Below are 20,589 nucleotides of genomic sequence, written 5' to 3'. Positions count from 1 at the left end.
CCCGGCCCAAGCTCCTCAGTTTTTAAGAATGTGAAGCAATCCTTTACAAAATGTTTGAGAATAGTTGGAATAGTACATCATGTCTGTGAAGCCAAGATTGTAAGTTCTATTTCTCTGAGTTAGTTAGCTTCACATAACAGACGGTTAAACATGGAAAGTGGCAAGGCATCCCACAGAATAGGATACAGTTTTTGTAAATCATGTCTGATAAGGGATTTGTAACTCCAACATGTAAAAATTCATTAATGAAAAAACCCAGCCAGGTGCGGTGGTGCACGCCTGTAGTCCCAGCTATTTGGGAGGCTGAGGCAGGAGGATTGATCGAACCCAGGAGTTCAAGTCCAACCTGAGCAACATAGCAAAACTATACCTCTAAAAAGTAATAATAATACGTCCAGTTTTTATTTTATTTATTTCTATTTTTTCAAGACATAGTCTCGCTCTGTCGCCCAGGCTGGAGTGCAGCGGCACAATCTTGGCTCAGTGGAACCTCTGCCCCTCCCCGCCGGCTCAAGGGATCCTCCCACCTTAGCCTCCTGAGTAGGTGGGATTACAGGTGCCTGTCACCATGCCTGGCTAATTTTTTGTATTTTTAGTAGAGACAAGGTTTCACCATGTTGGCCAGGCTGGTCTCAAACTCCTGATAAGTCCAGTTTTTAAATGGGCAAAATATTTGAACAGACATTTCTCCAAAGAAGATGTACAAATGGCCAATAAGAAAATGAAAAGACGCTCTACTTTGATAGCCATCAGAGAAATGTAAATCAAAACCACAATGAGATATCACTTCAGACCCACAAGGATGGCTGTAATAAAAAAGATAATATCAAATGTTGGTAAGGATATGGAGAAATTAGAACCCCTTATACTGGAAATGTAAAATAGTACAGCCCCTTTAAAGTCTGGTAGTTTTTCAGAAGGTAAAACATAAGAGTTACCACATTACTTAGCCATTCCATTTCTAGGTATATATCCAAGAAAAAGGAAAACACACAAAATGAACTCCACAAAGAAATCTTACACACTAATGTTCATAGTAACATTATTCATAATAGCCAAAACTGGAAACAATCCAAAGTCCATCGGCTGATACATAAACAAATGTAGGATATGCACATAATGGAATATTGTCAAAAGTAAAGTACTTAGTATATGCAAAAACATGAACTTTGAAAACACGCTAACTGAAAGCCAAAACAACGCCAGTCATGGTGGCTCACGGTGGTAATCCCAACACTTTGAGAGGCCGAGGCAGGTGGATTGCTTGAGCCCAGGAGTTCAAGACCAGCCTGGACAATATGGCAAAACCCCATCTCTATAAATTATAAAATTTAGCTGGGCATGGTGGCACATGCCTGTAGTCCATTATCGGGAGGTCTAGGTGGGAGGATTGATTGAGCCCAGGAGGTTGAGGCTGCAGTGGGCCATGATTGTGCCACTGCATTCGAGCCTGGGTGACAGAGTGAGATCCTGTCTCAAAGAAAAAAGAAAACTAGAAACAAAAAGAACACATATTGTATGATTACATTAAATATGGGCACATCCCTAGAGACAAAATAGATTAGTAGTTGCCCAGGGCTTAGGGATTGGAGGGAAATGGGAGTGACTGCTAACAGGTACAGATTTCTCTTTGGGGTGATAAAATGTTTTAAATGTGTGATGGTTCTGTAAACTTGAATATATTCATAAATAAAAACTATTGAGTTATACACTTCAGATGGGTGAATTGTATGTATGTGAATCATGTCTCAAGCCAGTACTAAAAAAGAAATTATAAAAGCTTAAATACATAATATGCTTATTCTACTTTCAAACCTTTTTTTTTTTTTTGAGACAGGGTCTGGCCCTGTTGCCCAGGCTGGAATGCAGTGGTGTGATCTTGGTTCACTGCAACCAACACCTCCTGGGCTCAAGCCATCCTCCCACCTCATCCTCCCAAGTAGCTGGGATTACAGATACCTGCCACCACACCCAGCTAATTTTTGCGTTTTTTGTAGAGATGGGGTTTCGCAATGTTGCCAGGCTGGTCTCCAACTCCTGAGCTCAAGTGATCCACCTGCCTCAGCCTCCCAAAGTGCTGGGATTATAGGCGTGAGCCACTGTGCCTGGCCCCCCTACCTTCTTTCTTTTAGCCAGTTGTACATGGTTGTGTTATTCACAGAGAAGATAAAATTAAGTCATTGGTAATATGTATGTCTTGATAACTAGTCCAGTTTTTGCTCTACTCCTTTGATTTGGGGTCCCTGCCTGTTCCCCATTAACATCGCCTGAAAAATGATATTAGGATTATAGATTATTATTTCAGAAGCAAAACTGGATTTTGATAGTTTTTGATAGTAATAAGTTTTTGGGATGCATAAGCATGGGACAGCTGTTCTTGCTACACTAAGCAGTTTGTTACAGAAGGGCATTGGAAACTTGCCCTGTTTTCTTTTCTTTTCTTTTCTTTTTTTTTTTTTTTTTTTTAGTTTGAGACAGAGTCTCCATCTGTTGCCCAGGCTGGACTGCAGTGGTATGATCTTGGCTCACTGCAACCTCCGCCTCCCGGGTTCAAGCAATTCTCCGGTCTCAGCCTCCCAAGTAGCTGGGATTACAGGGGCCTGCCACCACGCCCCGCTAATTTTTGTTTTGTTGTTGTTGTTGTTGTTGTTTGTTTGTTTTGTTTTCAAGACGGAGTCTGGCTCTGTCGCCCAGGCTGCAGTGCAATGGCATGATCTCGGCTCACTGCAACCTTTGCCTCCTGGATTCAAGCAATTCTCCTGCCTCAGCCTCCCACGTAGCTGGGATTACAGGCGTGTACCACCATGCCCAGCTAATTTTTGTATTTTTAGTAGAGACAGGGTTTTACCATGTTGGCCAGGCTGGTCTTGAACTCCTGACCTCAGGTGATCCACCTGCCTCGGCCTCCCAAAGTGCTGTGATTACAGGCGTAAGCCACCATGCCTGGCCAATTTTTGTATTTTTAGTAGAGATGGGGTTTCACCATTTTGGCCAGACTGGTCTTGAACTCCTGACCTCGAGTGATCTGCCCGTCTCGGCCTTCCAAAGTACTGGGAGCCACTCTGCCCAGCCTGTTTTCTTAAAATGACCTGTTCTGGCAACAGATTCAGGTAATAATACAACTTCATTCCTTATGGAGGCCCAGTCTCTCTTTTGGGTACTACAAAACTGTTCAGTTTTTCTTTGCCCAGTAGCATTATGGTAACCAGGCCAGAAAACAAAAATGCTTCACTCTCAGCGTTGGCTACCCAAGTGGTTCATAGCTGTTATGTTAAAAGGCTTTTTATTGTGAGAATTAAATGTGACCATAACCAGCAGGATATGCTCTTGAGCATTCTGGTTAACTTCCATTGTTAATTAATGCGGTTGATTGAGAATTACATGTATAGATTGTGTTACGAACATTTGACTACTGAGGAGCTAGGCCAGAAAAAAACATTTAGTGATGCAACTGATACTTCTGCTAATTCCCCAGGTATCTGGATAGCATTTTAGGGATTCTGTGAAATTGGATGGGGGAAAAGACTTTCACTAATCGCTAACTGAAATTGAGCATTCCCTTTTATTATTAATGTAGGCCAGAATTTACAGAGGTAATAGTGTTAGCAGCAGCACTCATCACTCATGTAGTGAATTGGCCCCTAAAGCTTGTTATTTGATGTATTAAGTATATATTACTATAAAAAACCTCTGGAGCAAGGAGCGGTGGTACACGCCTGTAGTCCCAGCTACGTGGGAGGCTGAGACAGGAGGATCACTGGAGCCCAGGATCTCTAGATCAGCAATGTAGAGAGAGCCTGTCTCTTTAAAAAAAAAAAAAAAAAACACAGCAACAGTACACACACACATGCTTTTTCCTTGGAAATCCCTCAGAATTTATGTATTTAAGAATATTATTCTGAGAAAAGGCTCATAGGTTTCACTAGACTGCAGAAAGATTCTGTGGCACCAAAGGAGCAACCAACTAGAGAGCATAGTTTTTTTTTTTTTTGAGATGGAGTCTCCTCTGTCACCCAGGTTGGAGTGCTGTGGCGTAATCTCGGCTCACTGCAACCTCTGCTTCCCAGGTTCAAGCGTTTCTCCCACCTCAGCCTCCTGAGTGTGTGAGACTACAGGCACATACCACCACGCCTGCTAATTTTTGTATTTTTAGTAGAGACGGGGTGTCACTGTGTTGGTCAGGCTGGTCTTGAACTCCTGACCTGAAGTGATCCACCTGCCTTGGCCTCCCAAAATGCTGGGATTACAGGCGTGAGCCACTGCACCCGATGAGCCATGGTTTTCAACTAGGACTGCTATACGTTAGAATTACTTGAAAAGTTTTTAAAAAATATTGATAGTATGTACATTCCTAGAGATTCAGGTTTAGTTGATTGAGGGCGAGGCTTGGACATCTTTTAAAATCTCCTTCCCTTAGGTGATTCTAATGCAGAGCCAGGATTGAGAATCACTAAAGGGCTGGCTCATTTGATGTATTAAGGAGACATGTATACGTCTTATTGTGATTATGCTTGGTTGGATATCAGATTCTATGCTCTTCAGTTGGTCTCTTTTACAGATTATATGGTATACCTTACCTGATTTGGTAGGTTAATTTGAGCAAGTGGGTCTTGAGCTCCAGAATATCTATGAACACTAAAGTAATTTAAATAGCTCTCTAAATGCAAAATTGACCTTGTATCAAGAGTAAAAACAATTATAGCAGTAAACCTTGGCAGTGATTCTGCTTGTCTACAATCCTTTCCCTCTTTCAGAGGGCAAAAATCACAAATCTTAATACCAAGAGAAAAACGACCATATGTTTTAGTAACAAATTTGAGATTATATCAGGTTTATTCTTCAGTGATACTGAAAGGCTAAAAGAAATCGACAACTCATACCTTGTAGGATTCTTTGTCTATCCCATCCCCTGGCATTTTTCCAAAGCAAATCCATGATTCAGAGTGGTTTTGGGTGTTTGTTATCACTGATTACCTAAAGCAGTTCAAGTATAGATGAACTGTTTTTTGGTTCCCATATCAGTTTTATTTCTTAGTTAATCGTTATCATTTTATAGTCGGTATCTCAAGACTGAAATTCTAGTTTACGTAAAATTTCTTTTTTTTTTTTGAGACTAAGTCTCACTCTGTTGCCCAGGCTGGAGGCTCACTGCAGCCTCTGCCTCCTGGTCTCAAGCGATTCTCTTGCCTCAGCCTCCCAAGTATCTGTGACTACAGGCACGCACCACCATGCCTGGCTAATTTTTGTATTTTTAATAGAGATGGGGTTTTACTATGTTGGCCAGGCTGGTCTCGAACTCCTGACCTCGTGATCTGCCCACCTCGGGCTCCCAAAGTGCTGGGATTACAGGTGTGAGCCACCAAGCCTGGCCTCTTTCTTTCTTTTTTTTTAGAGACAGTGTCTCACTGTCACCCAGGCTGGAGTGCAGTGGCGCAGCCTTAGCTCACTGCAACCTTGAACTCCTGGGCTCAAGAGATCTTCCTGCCTCAGTGTCCCAGGTAGCTAGGACTGCAGGTGCCTGCCACCACGCCTGGCTAAGTTGTTTTTGTTTTGTTTTGGTAGAGACAGAGTCTCACTGTGTTGCCCAGGCTGGTCTTGAACTTCTGGCCTCAAGCAGTCCGCCTGCCTAGTAGCTAGGGCTGCAGGCACACACCACCATGCCTGGCTAATTTTTATATTTTTTGTAGAGACCAGTGTCTCACTATGTTGCTCAGCTGCTCTTGAACTTCTGGCCTCAAGCGGTCCTCATGCCTTGGCCTCTCAAAGTGCTGGGATTACAGGCATGAGCTACCATGCCTGGCCTAAAATTTCTTTTAATTTTTTTTTTTTTCAAGAAGTAAACCCATTGAAAGAATTCTTTATTTTGTTATGTATCCCAAGGGCCACTACAATGTCTGACACATACTAGGCACTGAGTGAATATTTCTCAGACGAATAAGAAAAATTCAAACAAACCAGAAGGGTATATGGCAGAGTAAGTGTATGTGTTGTTTGCATGTCTCCCTGCTCACCATCACTTTTTATTTTCCATGTGGCTACCTGCCATGCCTTTTTTTTTTTTTAAGTGACTACAAATTCCATAATTTATTTAATTGGTCCTTTTTTATATGTATTTATTTAATTTTAACAAATAGAGACAGGGTTTTGTTCTCTTACTCGGGGTAGAGTGCAGTGGTGTGATTATAGCTCACCGCATCCTTGAACTCCTGGGGTCAAGCGATCTTTCCACCTTAGCCTCTTGAGTAGCTGGGACTATAGGCATGCACCACCACATCTGGCTATACATAGTTATTTAATTTATTTTCAGTCTTATGTAACTATAGTCTAGTAGCTGACTCATTATATATCTTTGTGTACATGTGCAGTAGGGTGTTAATAGAAGTGGAATTCAGAATCGGACATTTATATTAAACGTTGATCAGTTTCTTTTTTTCTTTTTTTTTGAGACGGAGTCTTGCTCTATTACCCAGGCTGGAGTGGAGTGCAGTGGTGTGATCTTGGCTTACTGCAACCTCTGCTGCCTGGGTTCAAGCAGTTCTCCTGTCTCAGCCTCCCGAGTAGCTGGGACTACAGGTGTGCACCACCACTCCCAGCTAATTTTTGTATTTTTAGTAGAGACGGGGGTTTCACCATATTGGTTGGGCTGGTCTCGAACTCCTGACCTCAGGTGATCCACTCGCCTCAGCCTCCCAAAGTGCTGGGATTACAGGCCTGAGCCATCGCCCCTGGCCACATTGATCAGTTTCTACTTGCCCTTGCTAACAATATGAGAATATCTTTTTCTGCTTACCCTCACCAGTGCAATTTAATTATAAAATGTTGGATCTTTGTTTTCTGGTTTATATTTGCATTTCTTTTTTTTGTTTGTTTTTGAGACGGAGTCTTGCTCTGTCATGCAGGCTGGAGTGCAGTGGCGCCATCTCTGCTCACTGCAAGCTCTGCCTCCCAGGTTCACGCTATTCTCTTGCCTCAGCCTCCTGAGTAGCTGGGACTACAGGTGCCCACCACCACGCCCAGCTAATTTTTTGTGTTTTTTAGTGGAGATGGGGTTTCACCCTGTTAGCCAGGATGGTTTCTGTTCTCCTGACCTAGTGAGCTGCCTGCTTTGGCCTCCCAAAGTGCTGGGATTATTACAGGCATGAGCCACCGTGCCCGGCCAATATTTGCATTTCTTTTGAGTCTTTAAAAAGTTAATTATAAACTGTTCATATGCTTTGCCCTTTTTTTTATTTTTAAATTTTTATTAAAAAATGTTTTTTTGACACAGAGTCTTGCCCTGTCACCCAGTTTGGAGTGCAGTGGTGCGATCATGGCTCAACCTCCTGGGCTCAGGTGATCCTGCCACCTCAGCTTCCCAAGTAGGTGGGACCATAGGTGCATGCCACCATGCCCCACTAATTCTTTGTATTTTTTGTAGAGACGGGGTTTCGCCATATTGCTGAGGTTAGTCTCAGACTCCTGGGCTCAAGCAATCCTCCTGCCCACCCACCAACCCCAAAGTGCTGAGATTGCAGGTTGAGCCTCTGCATCCGGCTGCATTTTCTTTTTGAACCACTGGTGGTTTATTGATTGTACTTTAATAAATTTAGTATTTTTGTCATGTGTTGGAGGTTTTTTTTACGTTTGTCTTTTTTTATTTTGGTACTTTTCTCATGCGCAAATTTTAACTTACCATGTAAGTTTACTCTTTAAAGGCTTTTTTTTTTTTAAAGACAGGGTCTGGCTCTGTCACCCAGGCCCGAGTGCAGTGGCGGCAATCTCAGTTCCCTGCAACTTCTCCCTCCCGGGCTCAAGCGATCCCACCGCAGCTTCCCAAGTACGTGAGACTACAGGTGTGTGGCACACACCTGGCTAATTTTTGTATTTGGGTAGAGACGGGATTCTGCCGTGTTGCCCAGGCTGGTCCAGAAGAACGCCTGAGCTCAAGGAATCCTCCCGTCTCGGCCTCCCAAAAGGCTTCTGAAGAGCTTTTCCAATGCAGAAATACATTTAACCGTATTCTGCTCTAGTTCTGTCTTGTGTTTTGTTTTTAACATTTAAATCTTTGATCTCTCTTAAGTTTATTTGGGCAGAAAGAGTAAAGTAGGAATTCAACTTTATTTTGATAAAATTGACTTCACAGTTATTCTAACAGATGATTATATAGTTATTCTGAAACCATTTATTGAAAAATTCACCATTCTGATTTGAACATGCCACCTTTATTATTTGCTGATTTTCCATTTGCTGTTCTTTCTGAGCCTGTAGTTTCATATATGGGAAGAGCCAATAGTCCCTTATAAACTTTACAGCTTTAGTTCCTTGAGCAAGCTATTCATAAAGTTCTTATATGTTAGGAAAGCATCCTAATTTTAATTTTGAATTACAGTAGTCAACATGTCTTTTTTTCTAAATAAGTAAATGCTTACCAGTGGTGCAAGCTAATTTATTCCAAAGAAAAGAGTTTATTTCTCCTAGGTAATTAAAAAAATCTGAACAGATACTTTTTTTAAACTTTTCCAAACTGGTGTTTTGACTGAATTGTTCCATGAAATACTAATTCCACTAAAAAAAAGGGGGAGTGGTGGGGGAGAAAAGTGATAGGGGCAGTGCTTCCCTCTTTATGCTCGGATATTATCAATATATATTGCCATTTATAGATGTCAGGATGTCCTAGAAAAAAGGCAAAACAAAACTTCATATAAATTAACTTTTTTTTTTGAGACGTAGTCTCTGTCACCCAGGCTGGAGTGCAGTGGTGCTATCTCGGCTAACTGTAAGCTCCGCCTCCTGGGTTCACGCCATTCTCCTGCTTTAGCCTCCCGAGTAGCTGGGACTACAGGCGCCCACCACCATGCCCGGCTAATTTTTTGTGTTTTTAGTAGAGATGGGGTTTCACCATGTTAGCCAGGATGGTCCCAATCTCCTGACCTTGTAATCTGCCTGTCTCAGCCTCCCAAAGTGCTGTGTGGCTTTGTCACCCAGGCTGGAGTGCAGTGGCGCAATCTCACTCACAGTAACCTCTGCCTCCTGGATTCAAGCAATTCTTGTGCCTCAGCCTTCCAGGTAGCAGGGATTACAGGCACACACCACCACGCCCAGCTAATTTTTCTGTTTTTAGTAGAGACTGGGTTTCAACATGTTAGCCTGGCTGGTCTTGAACTCCTGGCCGCAAGTAATCTGCCTGCCTCGGCCTCCCAAAGTGCTGGGATTGTAGATGTGAGCCACCACACCTGGCCTGTATAAATTAACATTTATCTGGCTTATTTGACCATCCCTTTTTGTGGTACACAGTAGTATTCTGAACAACAATTTGAGAATTAATACTTTTATTTTTGCTTCAAGTGCTGGCTACTATTTTAGGCATTTTTTTCAAAAATTAAATTTCTATAATAAAAGTAAAACTACCTTACCAAAGGATTTGGGGAATATTGAAAGAAAAGGGGAAAAAAAATCAGCCTCTAATTCTACTGCTTATCTTCCAAGGATGACCAGTCTAAGCATTTGAATATATTTTAAAAATCTCTTTAATTGCAGATTTCTTTTATAGTTTTCATTGTATTGTACATACAATTGTGAATTGTGTTTTTAAAATTTCTTTACATCGAAATAAGATTTCCATGTCATTTCATGCATTTTCTTTGTGGCGCAGGATGAATGCTTTAACAGCAGTGTTTCTCAAAGTTGGTCCAGGAACCCCAAGGGTTCCTAAGGACTTTCAGAGGATCTGTGACTTCAACCTCTCTCATAATAAATCTAAGACATTATTTGCCCTTTTTCACTCCTAATCTCTCACGGGCATACAGTGGAATTTTTCAGCATCTGTATGATCTGATAGGGCAGCAGATTGAATACAGAAGCAGATGTGAAAATTCAGCTGCCTTTTAAAAAGTCAAACATTGAATGGATTTATAAATACGTAAAAAGCGACATTCTTATTACTGAATTTTAAGTTATTTTTTATAAAGAAAAAACATGTAAAAAGTTTTATTTGTAAATCAATCAATATTTAAATTTGTTTTAATTTCTAATATGGTAAATATTGATAAAACCCACATAAAAGCTCTTTGTGGTTCTTAAATTTTAAGAGCGTAGAGGGGTCCTGAGACCATAAAGTTTGAGAGCTGCTGTTTTATAGTATTTAATACAAAAGTAAGTTTATTTGAATAAAAAATACTTGATCACTTGGTTTTATTATCTTTATGCAAGTTACTTCTGATTACAAATACAATCGTCCCTCAGTATCTGTGGGGGATTGTTGCCAGGACACCCCCTTAGATACCAGAGTCCATGTGTGCTCGTGTCTCTTATATAAAAATAATGTATTTGCATATAGCTTACATATGTCCTCCCAAATACTTAACTCATATCTAGATTATAATAACGTCATATAATACAGATGCCATGTAAATAGTTGTTATACTGTGTTGTTTAGGAAATAATGATAAATAAAAAGGCTGTACGTGTTTAGTGCTGTCTTTTTTTTTTCTCTCTGAGTATTTTCAATCCACCCTTGGTTGAGTATAAGGATGCGGAGCCCACAGATAAGGAAGGACGATTGTACACATCGGTTCTAGGAAACACACTTCTCTTTTATAAGAGGATATTTTTATGCTTTGTAATGTGACATTGCATCTGAGGACTTTATTGTTCATGAATTAAGTTAGGCATGAGATTTTTAAAACAGTAACTTTAGTTCACTGTTGTTTTTTTTCCCCAGGCAGCTGAGTATGTCCCAGAGAAGGTGAAGAAAGCGGAAAAGAAATTAGAAGAGAATCCATATGACCTTGATGCTTGGAGCATTCTCATTCGAGAGGCACAGGTTTAGTGATATAGGATTACATTTCCTTCTCTATGGGTCCAATCACACTACTTGGTTCTGCAGTGAATAATATTTTCATAATCCTAACATTGTAAATGCTGTTTATTGGTTTTCAATTTTAGAATCAACCTATAGACAAAGCACGGAAGACTTATGAACGCCTTGTTGCCCAGTTCCCCAGTTCTGGCAGATTCTGGAAACTGTACATTGAAGCAGAGGTTACTATTTTATTTTATTTTTTCTTATATCAGTATTGCAGCATTCACTGTAGTGATAGAAAACAAGTTAGGAACATAGCCAATTAGGACAAGGAGGATTTAAATGTGTCTTACCTTTATTTTGTAAAATAGGTATAAAGGAGTAATTAAAATGAATTTTTGAAATTTGGGTCTTTTACAAGCTGATGATTGTTGCATTTTGGAGTTGCAACAACATTAAAACAGTTTCAATGGTATTGGAGTGCTTTAGCCTTTTATTTACTTGTCATGTGTCAATTTATTGCCTCCTGTGTCATTTATTTAGAACTCATTTTTCTTTTTATTCCTACTTACAAACTAATATGAATGGGAGTATATGAAAATACAGAAATGTTAACTTAGTTTTTCATAGAGTATTTTGAGTGTCTGGTGAAATGAAACATTTTAAGAGAAGAATTACTTCACATTTTAATTTTGTGAAAATGCATGGTTTATCAATGTAAGCACTTCAATAATTTAACGATTTTTCTGTAAGATAGTTTATATTATGCAAGAATAAGCTAATGTGATTCAAACCTATTTAATCCTATTTAATCATAATTTTACCCAATGATACTTTGATATTTTTTTCTTGCTTTTTATATCTTGAAATTTGAACCCAGGCATGTATATTTTAAAGAGTAAGGACCCCATTCATGATTATGGTTAGGAGGAAAATGTTAATTTTTGAAGACTGGAATTAGTAAAAATGATAATAAAAGTTTTAATGTGTCAATAACAATTGGCACCAAGTAGTCATTTTCAGGTTATTAATATAAATTAATGATATGGAAGGGGTAAGATGTAAATAACTGATATCCACATTAAGCTGAAAATTATACGCATTTCTTTTTGTAACTTATGCAGTACTCTTATTTTTAATATTAATTTTGTGATATAGATTTTCAGCATAATCAAGTACACTGCAGCCTCAACATAACATTTTCTGCTGTACCTGAAATTTGATAATATTTAGGTCTGTTTTGGACCTATTCAAAGGGCTTTGGTCATCAGCAGTACTGAATATACTTCAGCACAACACAGTGTCATCTGTGATATGTCCTCAGAATGGACCCAACCAATAGCAGATTTAAATAGAGGCTACAGTGTACTCATTGTATTTGTGCTATAGTTTAGATTGTATTACTTGGTGGGGAGGGAAATTACTGGATAATAGCAGGAACATTGTGTGTGTTTTATTTTTGTGTGTGTGGTTGTGTATGTGGTATGTATGTTTGTGTGTTTGTATGTATGAGAGAGATTGTGCCTTATGTGGAGTCTGGTAGTTTTGGCCCATGACCATACCTTAAAGTTTCATCACCTATCCTCTGGGACCATTTCTTTCCTTAATATATTTAAATCACCAAAGTAGCTTGGCACAAAACAGGTGAGGCCTGTCTGAAATATGCTGAAGCCCGTGCTGCTTTGTATTAACTCATTAAAACAAGGAACCTGGATCACCTGCACCTGATCTGCATTCTAGTCTGGCTTTAGAAACACATTAGACTTAAATTCAAACGCACCAGAAATGAAAATAATTGATATATAATTGTTTTTGTATAGTGAAGTAGAACTTTCTGAGTTTTTGAAATTTCCTTGTTTCTCAATTATTCAGGCATTATTCATGCATTTTATTATAGCGTAAGTTAAACTGAAATAGGCAGTTAGATACTCCATTCTGTAACTCTGAACACAATGGGTTTGTTTCTCCAATTTCCTAGCTGTAAGTTACAAACTGCATCCTAAAAAAAAGTTTCAGGAAGACCAGATGTTATTCCAAGGGGCTGAAAGTTGTCTACATAACAGGCTCAATTCATATAATGAAATGAAGAGCTGCTAGCAGTTGCCTGATTTATTTAGTTGGTAATATTTGCAGTTACTTCACACACACAAACATACACACGCGCACAAATAGGTATATATAACATGTATTAAGAACAAATGGTAAATAATATATATGTATATTTTTTAAAATTTATATTTTTGGTTTAGGAATTAAGGTTTTAAATTGAATGCTGGTTTTAGAAATGCATATCCTGAGCTGTGTTTTTCTCTTTCCTGGTTTGCTGTTTATTTTTTATTTTCACATTCTATATTTTTGTTTAGCCTGTGAGAGGCTAAAGTTTTCTTTGATCATATCACTCAATGTGGCCATTAATATTTCTGGAGAAGACACAAACCTATTTATAATACTTTTTAAAAATCCGAAGTGATAATAAGAATGTTTTTACATTGAAAGTAATACTTAAGTGTTTACATAACATTCTGTATGCACTCAAGAAAATAAAGTTTTGTTAATACATTTGTTGTAACTCAGTACTTCATGGTGGGAAAATTGTAATGTTCATTTCTTTATATTCTGCTAAGCCAACTTGTGTGACTCCAAATACCTTTTTTTAATAGAAAATACATACATCTTTAGTAACGGAAGATAATTTGCTTCCCCAGAGAAACTCCTTGCAAATCCTATTTAAGTACAAAATGTCAAAGGAAAAAAGTATTAAACTTTTTAAAAAAATTTGAAACATCAGTTGGAAATGAGAGCATATTAATTACTTTTAAAAAAGGTTAATGATGCTGCTATATGAGCCAGTGCATCAGATTTGCTCATAACTGAGAGTTGAGCAGTATCTATTTAGCTATGTAAAATTTGGATTTAAAATGTCATTCTGAATTTGTCACATGCTTTCATTTTTTTGCTGTAGTGTGGAAATTGTTGGAGGTAAAATTATCTTGCTCTAGTGAATGGCATTTAGGACAAACTTCTGTGTATTCTTAATATATAATTTCAAAAACTAGGCCAAATTACTTTGGTGTTATATATAATACATAGGAGATAACATTTTGCCTCCACTCCCTGAAATACATTGTTCTACTCTTTATTCCAAAACTGCTAGGTCACATGATTTAACAGTATTATTATAAGATGAGCAAGTCATTAATTGTATGACTATTCTTAAAGTGATAGTTATCAAGTATAAAGTTTAAATATCACTATGATATGAAAGTACTTTTGTGACTTCTTAGTTTCAAATAAAGGAAACATTTAAATATGTCTCCAGCTATTTAATCGGATAAGGATATCTTAAATGCAGTTTAGTATATTTTTGGATTTAATAAATGAGAGGTTTTAAACACTTGAGTTAAGTGGAATGCCCCAGTCAGAGCCTCAGTGCTCTTTAAAGAACTACTTTTTACAATGATCAAAAAGGTCACTAAATAATCACAAAATTGAGAAAACCTACAGAATTTTGACATATTCTTTTAAATTGTTCTGCCCCACCCAGCCTGTGGTTTCTGTAGCTTTTCATGTAATTAGGTGATGAGTGACAACATGTAAGCTACAATATCTTATTGTTAGAGAAGTAATTTGTTTTGAATCGGGCCACATTCATAAGGAATTTTTTTACTGAAGCATGTTTTTTATTGGTGGCTGAAGGAGAAATGAAGAAGGTAATGCTGCTGGTAATAGCAACGATGTATCTTGCTGTCTGTGAAAGCTGTATTTCTTTAATAAAAGCATATAGAGAATTGATTGTTTTATTTAAAATTTTTACAAAAGATGAATTCTTTTCTCTATACTTGGTTTTTCCTTCCTTATAAATAATGGGTTGTGTAGCATACATTTCAGTTTTTCAAAATGACCTTTCTTCTTGGAAAATGGAAGTGAACTCAGGATGCAACATGAGTGTCCTAAATTGAAATAAACTTTTCCACTGTTGATACTGTTTTAATACCTTTACATAGCAATTTAAATTACTGTATTATAATGTTTTCTTTCTGTTGAGCAATGTGATTTTAAAATGCAGATACAATTACTGCATTATATAGATTATGGTGATTTCTATACTTCAGCTTGCAGCCTTTTTACCAAAAAAAATCTGTACTCTTTTCTTATAGATCTACACTTTTCCTGTTTGTAATAAATGTTGGTCCATGTCTGTGTGATTATTCAGATTTTTACTTTAAAACTCAATATGCTTTTTTATCTAGTTTCTTAGATGCATATATAAATGTAGAATAGAGATGTATTACAAGAAAAAAGTACTTGTAAACAGAACTGAGTGATAATCTGAAAGTGCTTTGAATAAAGTACTGTTTGATAAGCAAAGGAAATATTTGCATGTTGACTATAATAAGTAGTAAACTATTTTAGGTTTTATTGAATTATCTGATTCCATCCCTTTTCCCTATCCATTCTATAACAGAGATGTTTAGATGCTGTCACTTCTACTAACATGGTCTATACATTTTTTCCCTTGGGACTTTTTTTCTCAGCCAAAGCAACTACTTTCAAAAGGATGTAGTCACTTAGATAATGACATTTCTTTAAATAAAACTGTATGTTTTCTAATCTTTATAATTTCTAGATAATTCTTTTATGTGAAATGTAGCCATTTATTTTCAAGCAAAATCTTGTGCTAGTCAACCTGATTGCCTATGTATTTCTCAGCTTTATAAAGCAAAACTAATCTCTGCAGTCATTAGTAAACACATTGAAAATATATGGTCATTTTCTTTACCCTGCAAAGACTCTTACGTTTTAAACTCAGCTTCTTTATATTCTATTCTTTGGTGTAATAAGAGTCATGATATATTCTGAAATTGTGGAAAAAGGTTTATGATAAAAAATGCATATACATTCTAAAATTAATGGTGAAACAAAAAGGACTATTGGATCAGACAATTTGAAGTTTTTGGGGGAGGTAGTAATGTTTTACCTAAATTTCCTAGACATTCATGGAATAACATAATAATATGTAATACCTAATACTTAGTTGTTAAAAATATTGGGTATTATAGTCATTAGGATCATAGGGGATAATTTTGGTTCAAAACTCTATCCCTGTCCCAAAAGGTATTAAAGATACGCTGCAACGTAGCATCCATGAATCAACACAAACATGTAAGCCCCTCATAATATCACAGAGCTAGAAACCTCCATATTTGGAAATAAAACTAATTCTAACACATGAGACTTTTTACAGTGCTGAGCATTTTTGGTTATAACTTGAGCTCAGGGGAATCAGGTGGCAATTGACTTTCCTTTATAAAACAAAAGGACCAGTTTAAGTCAAAAGCTTAAATATTTTCTAATGGATTGTTTGTATTTTCTTTAACGCATCAGCTTTGAAACAGCTATTCCTTTGGAATGAGTCTGGTTCAAGGCACTTCCAGGAAATGAAGATGTCTAAAATATTACCAGTGACATCTGTAAAAAGTTGCACCTCTAAATAAATGTGGACAATGCATTTATTAGTTGTAACTTATTACTTTCAATTTTATTACTTTAATTTTACTGAATTTTTAAACTTTAAATTTTATTATTAAACCGGTTTGCTCCTAGCAACTTGGTAGCAGAAAACAAATAGTTGGTTTGTATAATGGCATAATAGGTTGAAGTCTGCATCTAGATTTTTTTCCCCCACATACCAGAATCCACAACAGTTTGAAAAAAAAATTGTGAATATTTGCTTTGAATACAACTTCTTGAGAAACTCAGCTGCTTTTCTAAGACTCAGGAAAGCATAATGTGGGTAAGTTTTACCATTTTGTATGCTAGACCTCCAAAGAAAAATTTTCTATTTGCAAGTGTTAATTAAGCAATAGTTCTAAAGACAAATTGACATCAGCGATAGGATTCAAATGTAGTTTTGAAATAGTACATTGCACCGTAGTAAGGGTCAAAGATAACAAGATCCCAAAGCTGTTTTTAGTCTTTCTGAAATGAAATCTAAATACTTCTATTCATGTGACAGAACATGTTCAGTTACAACCTTTTATTTAAATGCAACATTTCAGCTCTAGCATGTACTGTTGACGTTTTAAGTCTTCCTTTGTCCTAAGATTCATATTCTGCAACTTTTCATACTGGATTTGAAGAAAAAAGAAGGTTGGCTATTTTGTGATGATGGTTTCCCTGGAAATTTTTTCATTCACCAGACTATGACTACTGTACATTTTACATATAGTTGAAGTGGACATAATGTTTTAAGTCAGAAATTTTTAGAGCTGGAAGATGAATTAGTTTAGCCCCCTCATTTTATATGTGAGTAAACTAAATCAAGACATTGTTATCCCTGGAGCCAAAGTTTACAAACTTCACTGCTTTAGAATCACTTGGAAAGCTTTTAAAGCATACAAGCTTCCCAGTTAGCATACCAGCACTGCTGACTCAATCTCTAGAGGATGGACATATGGTATGTGTTTCTGGCAGCTAGTTTTGGGAATTGAGGCTTTGCAGGGCAGTAATTGAATCTTACTGCTGTCAGTAAATTTTATAGTTTGCAGAATATTTCCTATACTTGCCTGGACAATAAAGTGATTAGTCTCCTGGCTTGCTTTTTGTATATAATCGAGTGATCTTTGAAGCATCTACTATGTGCTTAGTATATTGTAACTGTTAGATTCACAGTCAGGGTCAGGGTTAGGGTTACGCTGTTTTAACTGTAACCGTTTTTTTACTAACTGAATTTATTCCTGGGTTTGAAAACTGATTTTCTGGTTGCATAAACTTTTTTAAAAAAGACAGTCACATGAGTGCCAAACTAAGAATCAGATAACCTTTAAGGACACTTCAAGTGTTACGGGAGAATCATCTAAGCTGAAGAATGTGGCTTAAAAGAATTAACTGCAGCTAACTTGTACCCTGTGTAGAGTTTGAACAAGAGTGCCACATCTTGGTATTTATTTTTGGTTTATTTAGCTAACATCCTTTTATTTCAGTGCAACTTGAGTGTTGTGCTGGTACTTCTCATTCTTCTGGGTGGTGGGGAATGGGATGTTTTCTCACAAATAACCAGTTATTTCTAACTTACTATAGTCAGGTTCAGTCCATTTCTGAGCTTTTCACTAGAAAGATCTGTAGTGTTTCTCAACCATTTTAAACCCATATCCTTATAAAAAATGAAAACTCAAATGCTTCCTTAATGGCTTTTGACAGTTTTAAAGTCAAATTTGATGACTAAAAAGTCCACCAGTGGTAATTTTAGAATGGTCTTTTCAGCTGTAGTTAAGAATCCAAGTACTAATGATATTTAGAATTACATTAGACTAAATTTTATAAAACTTAAATATCCAAAATGACAACACTACTAAGTATTACAGAAGTGCAGTGTCATTGGAGGGAAGATTGTCAGCAAAATAACTTTGTTTCCTGTGTTTGTACATTTCTTTTAGTTCCCTCATCCACCATTTCCTTTGGTTTTGGCTATCGTGTATGAAGAGAATTTTTGAAGGTTTTGTGCTTCCCGTATTTGGGGTATGGTATTGGGTATTAGGTGAAAAAATGCTTAAAACTTTGATTATTTAGGTTATCAGAGTTGAAGATCCAATCACGGCAGATCACATGGTTTAATCTGCTTTGTATTGGTTGAATAACGAGCATTGCTTTTAGGGTTTACAAACTGACAGTTATTTAAGCAATTTTTGTAATGCATTTGTAACTTTATTTTGAAATTACTTTGAACTTACAAAAAAGTTGCAAGAACAATGCAAAGAACTCCCATATATATTTTGCACTGCTTTTTAACATCTTGACATAAGTGCTTTACTGAATCTTTTTTTTCCGAACTATAGGAGATTGCATTGAATATATTATGAACTTTAATGCTTTGATGTGTTTGCTAATAACAAAGATTCTTATACATACACACAGTTGAGTGATGCAATTCAGGAAATGTAACATTAGTAGAATAATCTGCAGTCTATGTTATACTTTTGTCATGGTAATACTCTTAAATTTCTTCGGATTCATTATCTAATCCAAGGCCATTATATAATTGTCATTCCTCTTAGTCTCCTTCAATGTGGAACAGCCCCTCAGCCTTAATTTGTTTTGTTTTTGAGTCTTGCTCTGTCACCCAGGCTTGAGTGCAGTGGCGTGATCTCGGCTCACTACAACCTCAGCCTCCTGAATAGCTGGGACAAGTGTGCTCCACCACACCCAACTAATATTTGTATTTTTAGTAGAGATGGGGTTTCACCATTTTGGCCAGGCTGGTCTCAAATTCCTGACCTCAAGCCTTCCAAAGTGCTGGATTACAGGCGTAAGCCACTGCACCCAGCCCTCGGCCTTAATTTGAATTTGTTTGATGCTTCATCATTAGATTTAGGTTATAGGTTTTAGCTGAAAAGCCACCAAAATGGTCATGTGTCTTTAGTGTATTTCATCCAGAGGCGTAGTAATGTTCATTTGTCCCATATTGGTGATGTCAGTTTTCATGATGTGGTTCAGGTGTTGACCAGCTTGTCCACTGTGTAGTTAATATTATTCCTTTGATAATTAATAGAAAAAATAATGGGGAGATAATTTGAGACTAAATATTGTATTCTCTTCTAACAACTGTCCACTCCATTTAAACCCTATTGATTCTTGGTTGAATCAGTGATATTTTTCCATGGAATTATCTGGTGTTTTTCAATATGTTTATTGAGTGGAAACAGGTATTCTATTCATGACTCAAACTTTATTGTGTTTGAAAACTATTGGAAAGTCCTAGCTTTCCCCTCCCTACCATGATTTTTTTCATTTAAGAAGCTTACTAGTGAGTATAGTTAGTAAAGATAATTTTCAGGATTTTGTCAAATATAAAATCATTTACTGTAAATGATGCCTGTCAATTCTGTCATAAATCATATGGGGAAGAAAACTTAAAAATTGTTACTTCAAGCATTAGGTTATATATATTGTATGTTACATATATATTATATATAAACTGTATGATATAGGAAATGGATATCTATATTGATTTACTTGACCAAATGGCAAATTATTTTAAATAAGAATTTAGATATTTTAAAAATAATGCCATCTTTCGCTTTGTAAACAAATAGTCAAAAAGATCATCTAGACAAATACGTGATCATTTGCAAATGCTACATTATTTAACTCGTTAAAAGTTTTCAGTTGTTAGCAACACAAATAATGAAATTCTTAGCACTTTAAAGGAAATAGTTTCTATTAGCAATTAAAGATGTCAGATTGCTTATCCATGGGAATATTTGCCAAAAAGGTTCCTTTTTAAATTTGAATTTCCTGAGTTGACAGAATAGTTAGGAGATTAGCATTTAAATAACAGGTATTCCAAGTCAAAATAACTTTGAAAAAAAGTGTTTTATCTGGCTGGGCGCAGTTGTTCATGCCTGTAGTCCTAGCATTTGGGAGGCCAAGGTGGGCAGATTGCCTGAGCCCCACGAGTTTGAGACCAGCCTGGGCAATGTAGTAATCACCCCATCTCTAAAATACCTTTTTTTTTTTCTTCAACAGAAAATTATTATTCAAGTTCAGTTTTTTATTATGGGGGAGGGGAACTACTCTGTCCTGTGCCTCAACTGCAGGGTCAGAATTTTTCTTACTGTGTTACTGTAACAGTGGTCTGATCATATTTGGTAGTATGGAAAAGGTATGTTTAAAAATGTCTTCATTTATTTAAAGAAATGCAGTGCAAGGAATCTGCAGGTAACTCTATAAAGGATATATGCAGAAATAGGAATGAAAGAATTTGAAATCTGGGGACCCTAGGATATTCTGCTTGCAGCTTCCTTATTACT

The 20,589-nt window shown here is 36.9% G+C and overlaps 1 protein-coding gene across 3 annotated transcripts in view; it reads left to right on the top strand.

Annotated features, from left to right (window-relative positions):
• The window catches only part of CSTF3 (cleavage stimulation factor subunit 3), a 76,897-nt gene that overhangs the window by 8,795 nt on the left and 47,513 nt on the right, over positions 1–20,589 (top strand). Inside the window, exons 2-3 of one of the 3 annotated variants that reach the window (NM_001326.3) lie at positions 10,700–10,801; positions 10,924–11,019. In NM_001326.3, the coding sequence (NP_001317.1) occupies positions 10,700–10,801; positions 10,924–11,019 (198 nt within the window). Of the gene's footprint in view, positions 1–10,699; positions 11,256–20,589 lie in introns of those variants that run through there. The other 2 variants (NM_001033505.2, NM_001033506.2) reach the window with 2 other exon arrangements.

The sequence above is a fragment of the Homo sapiens genome, chromosome 11 (assembly GCF_000001405.40).
Source record: "Homo sapiens chromosome 11, GRCh38.p14 Primary Assembly".
NCBI classification, from domain to species: domain Eukaryota; kingdom Metazoa; phylum Chordata; class Mammalia; order Primates; family Hominidae; genus Homo; species Homo sapiens.
The sequence above is the reverse complement of the archived record's forward strand: the minus strand, read 5'-3'. Positions and strand labels throughout refer to the sequence as shown.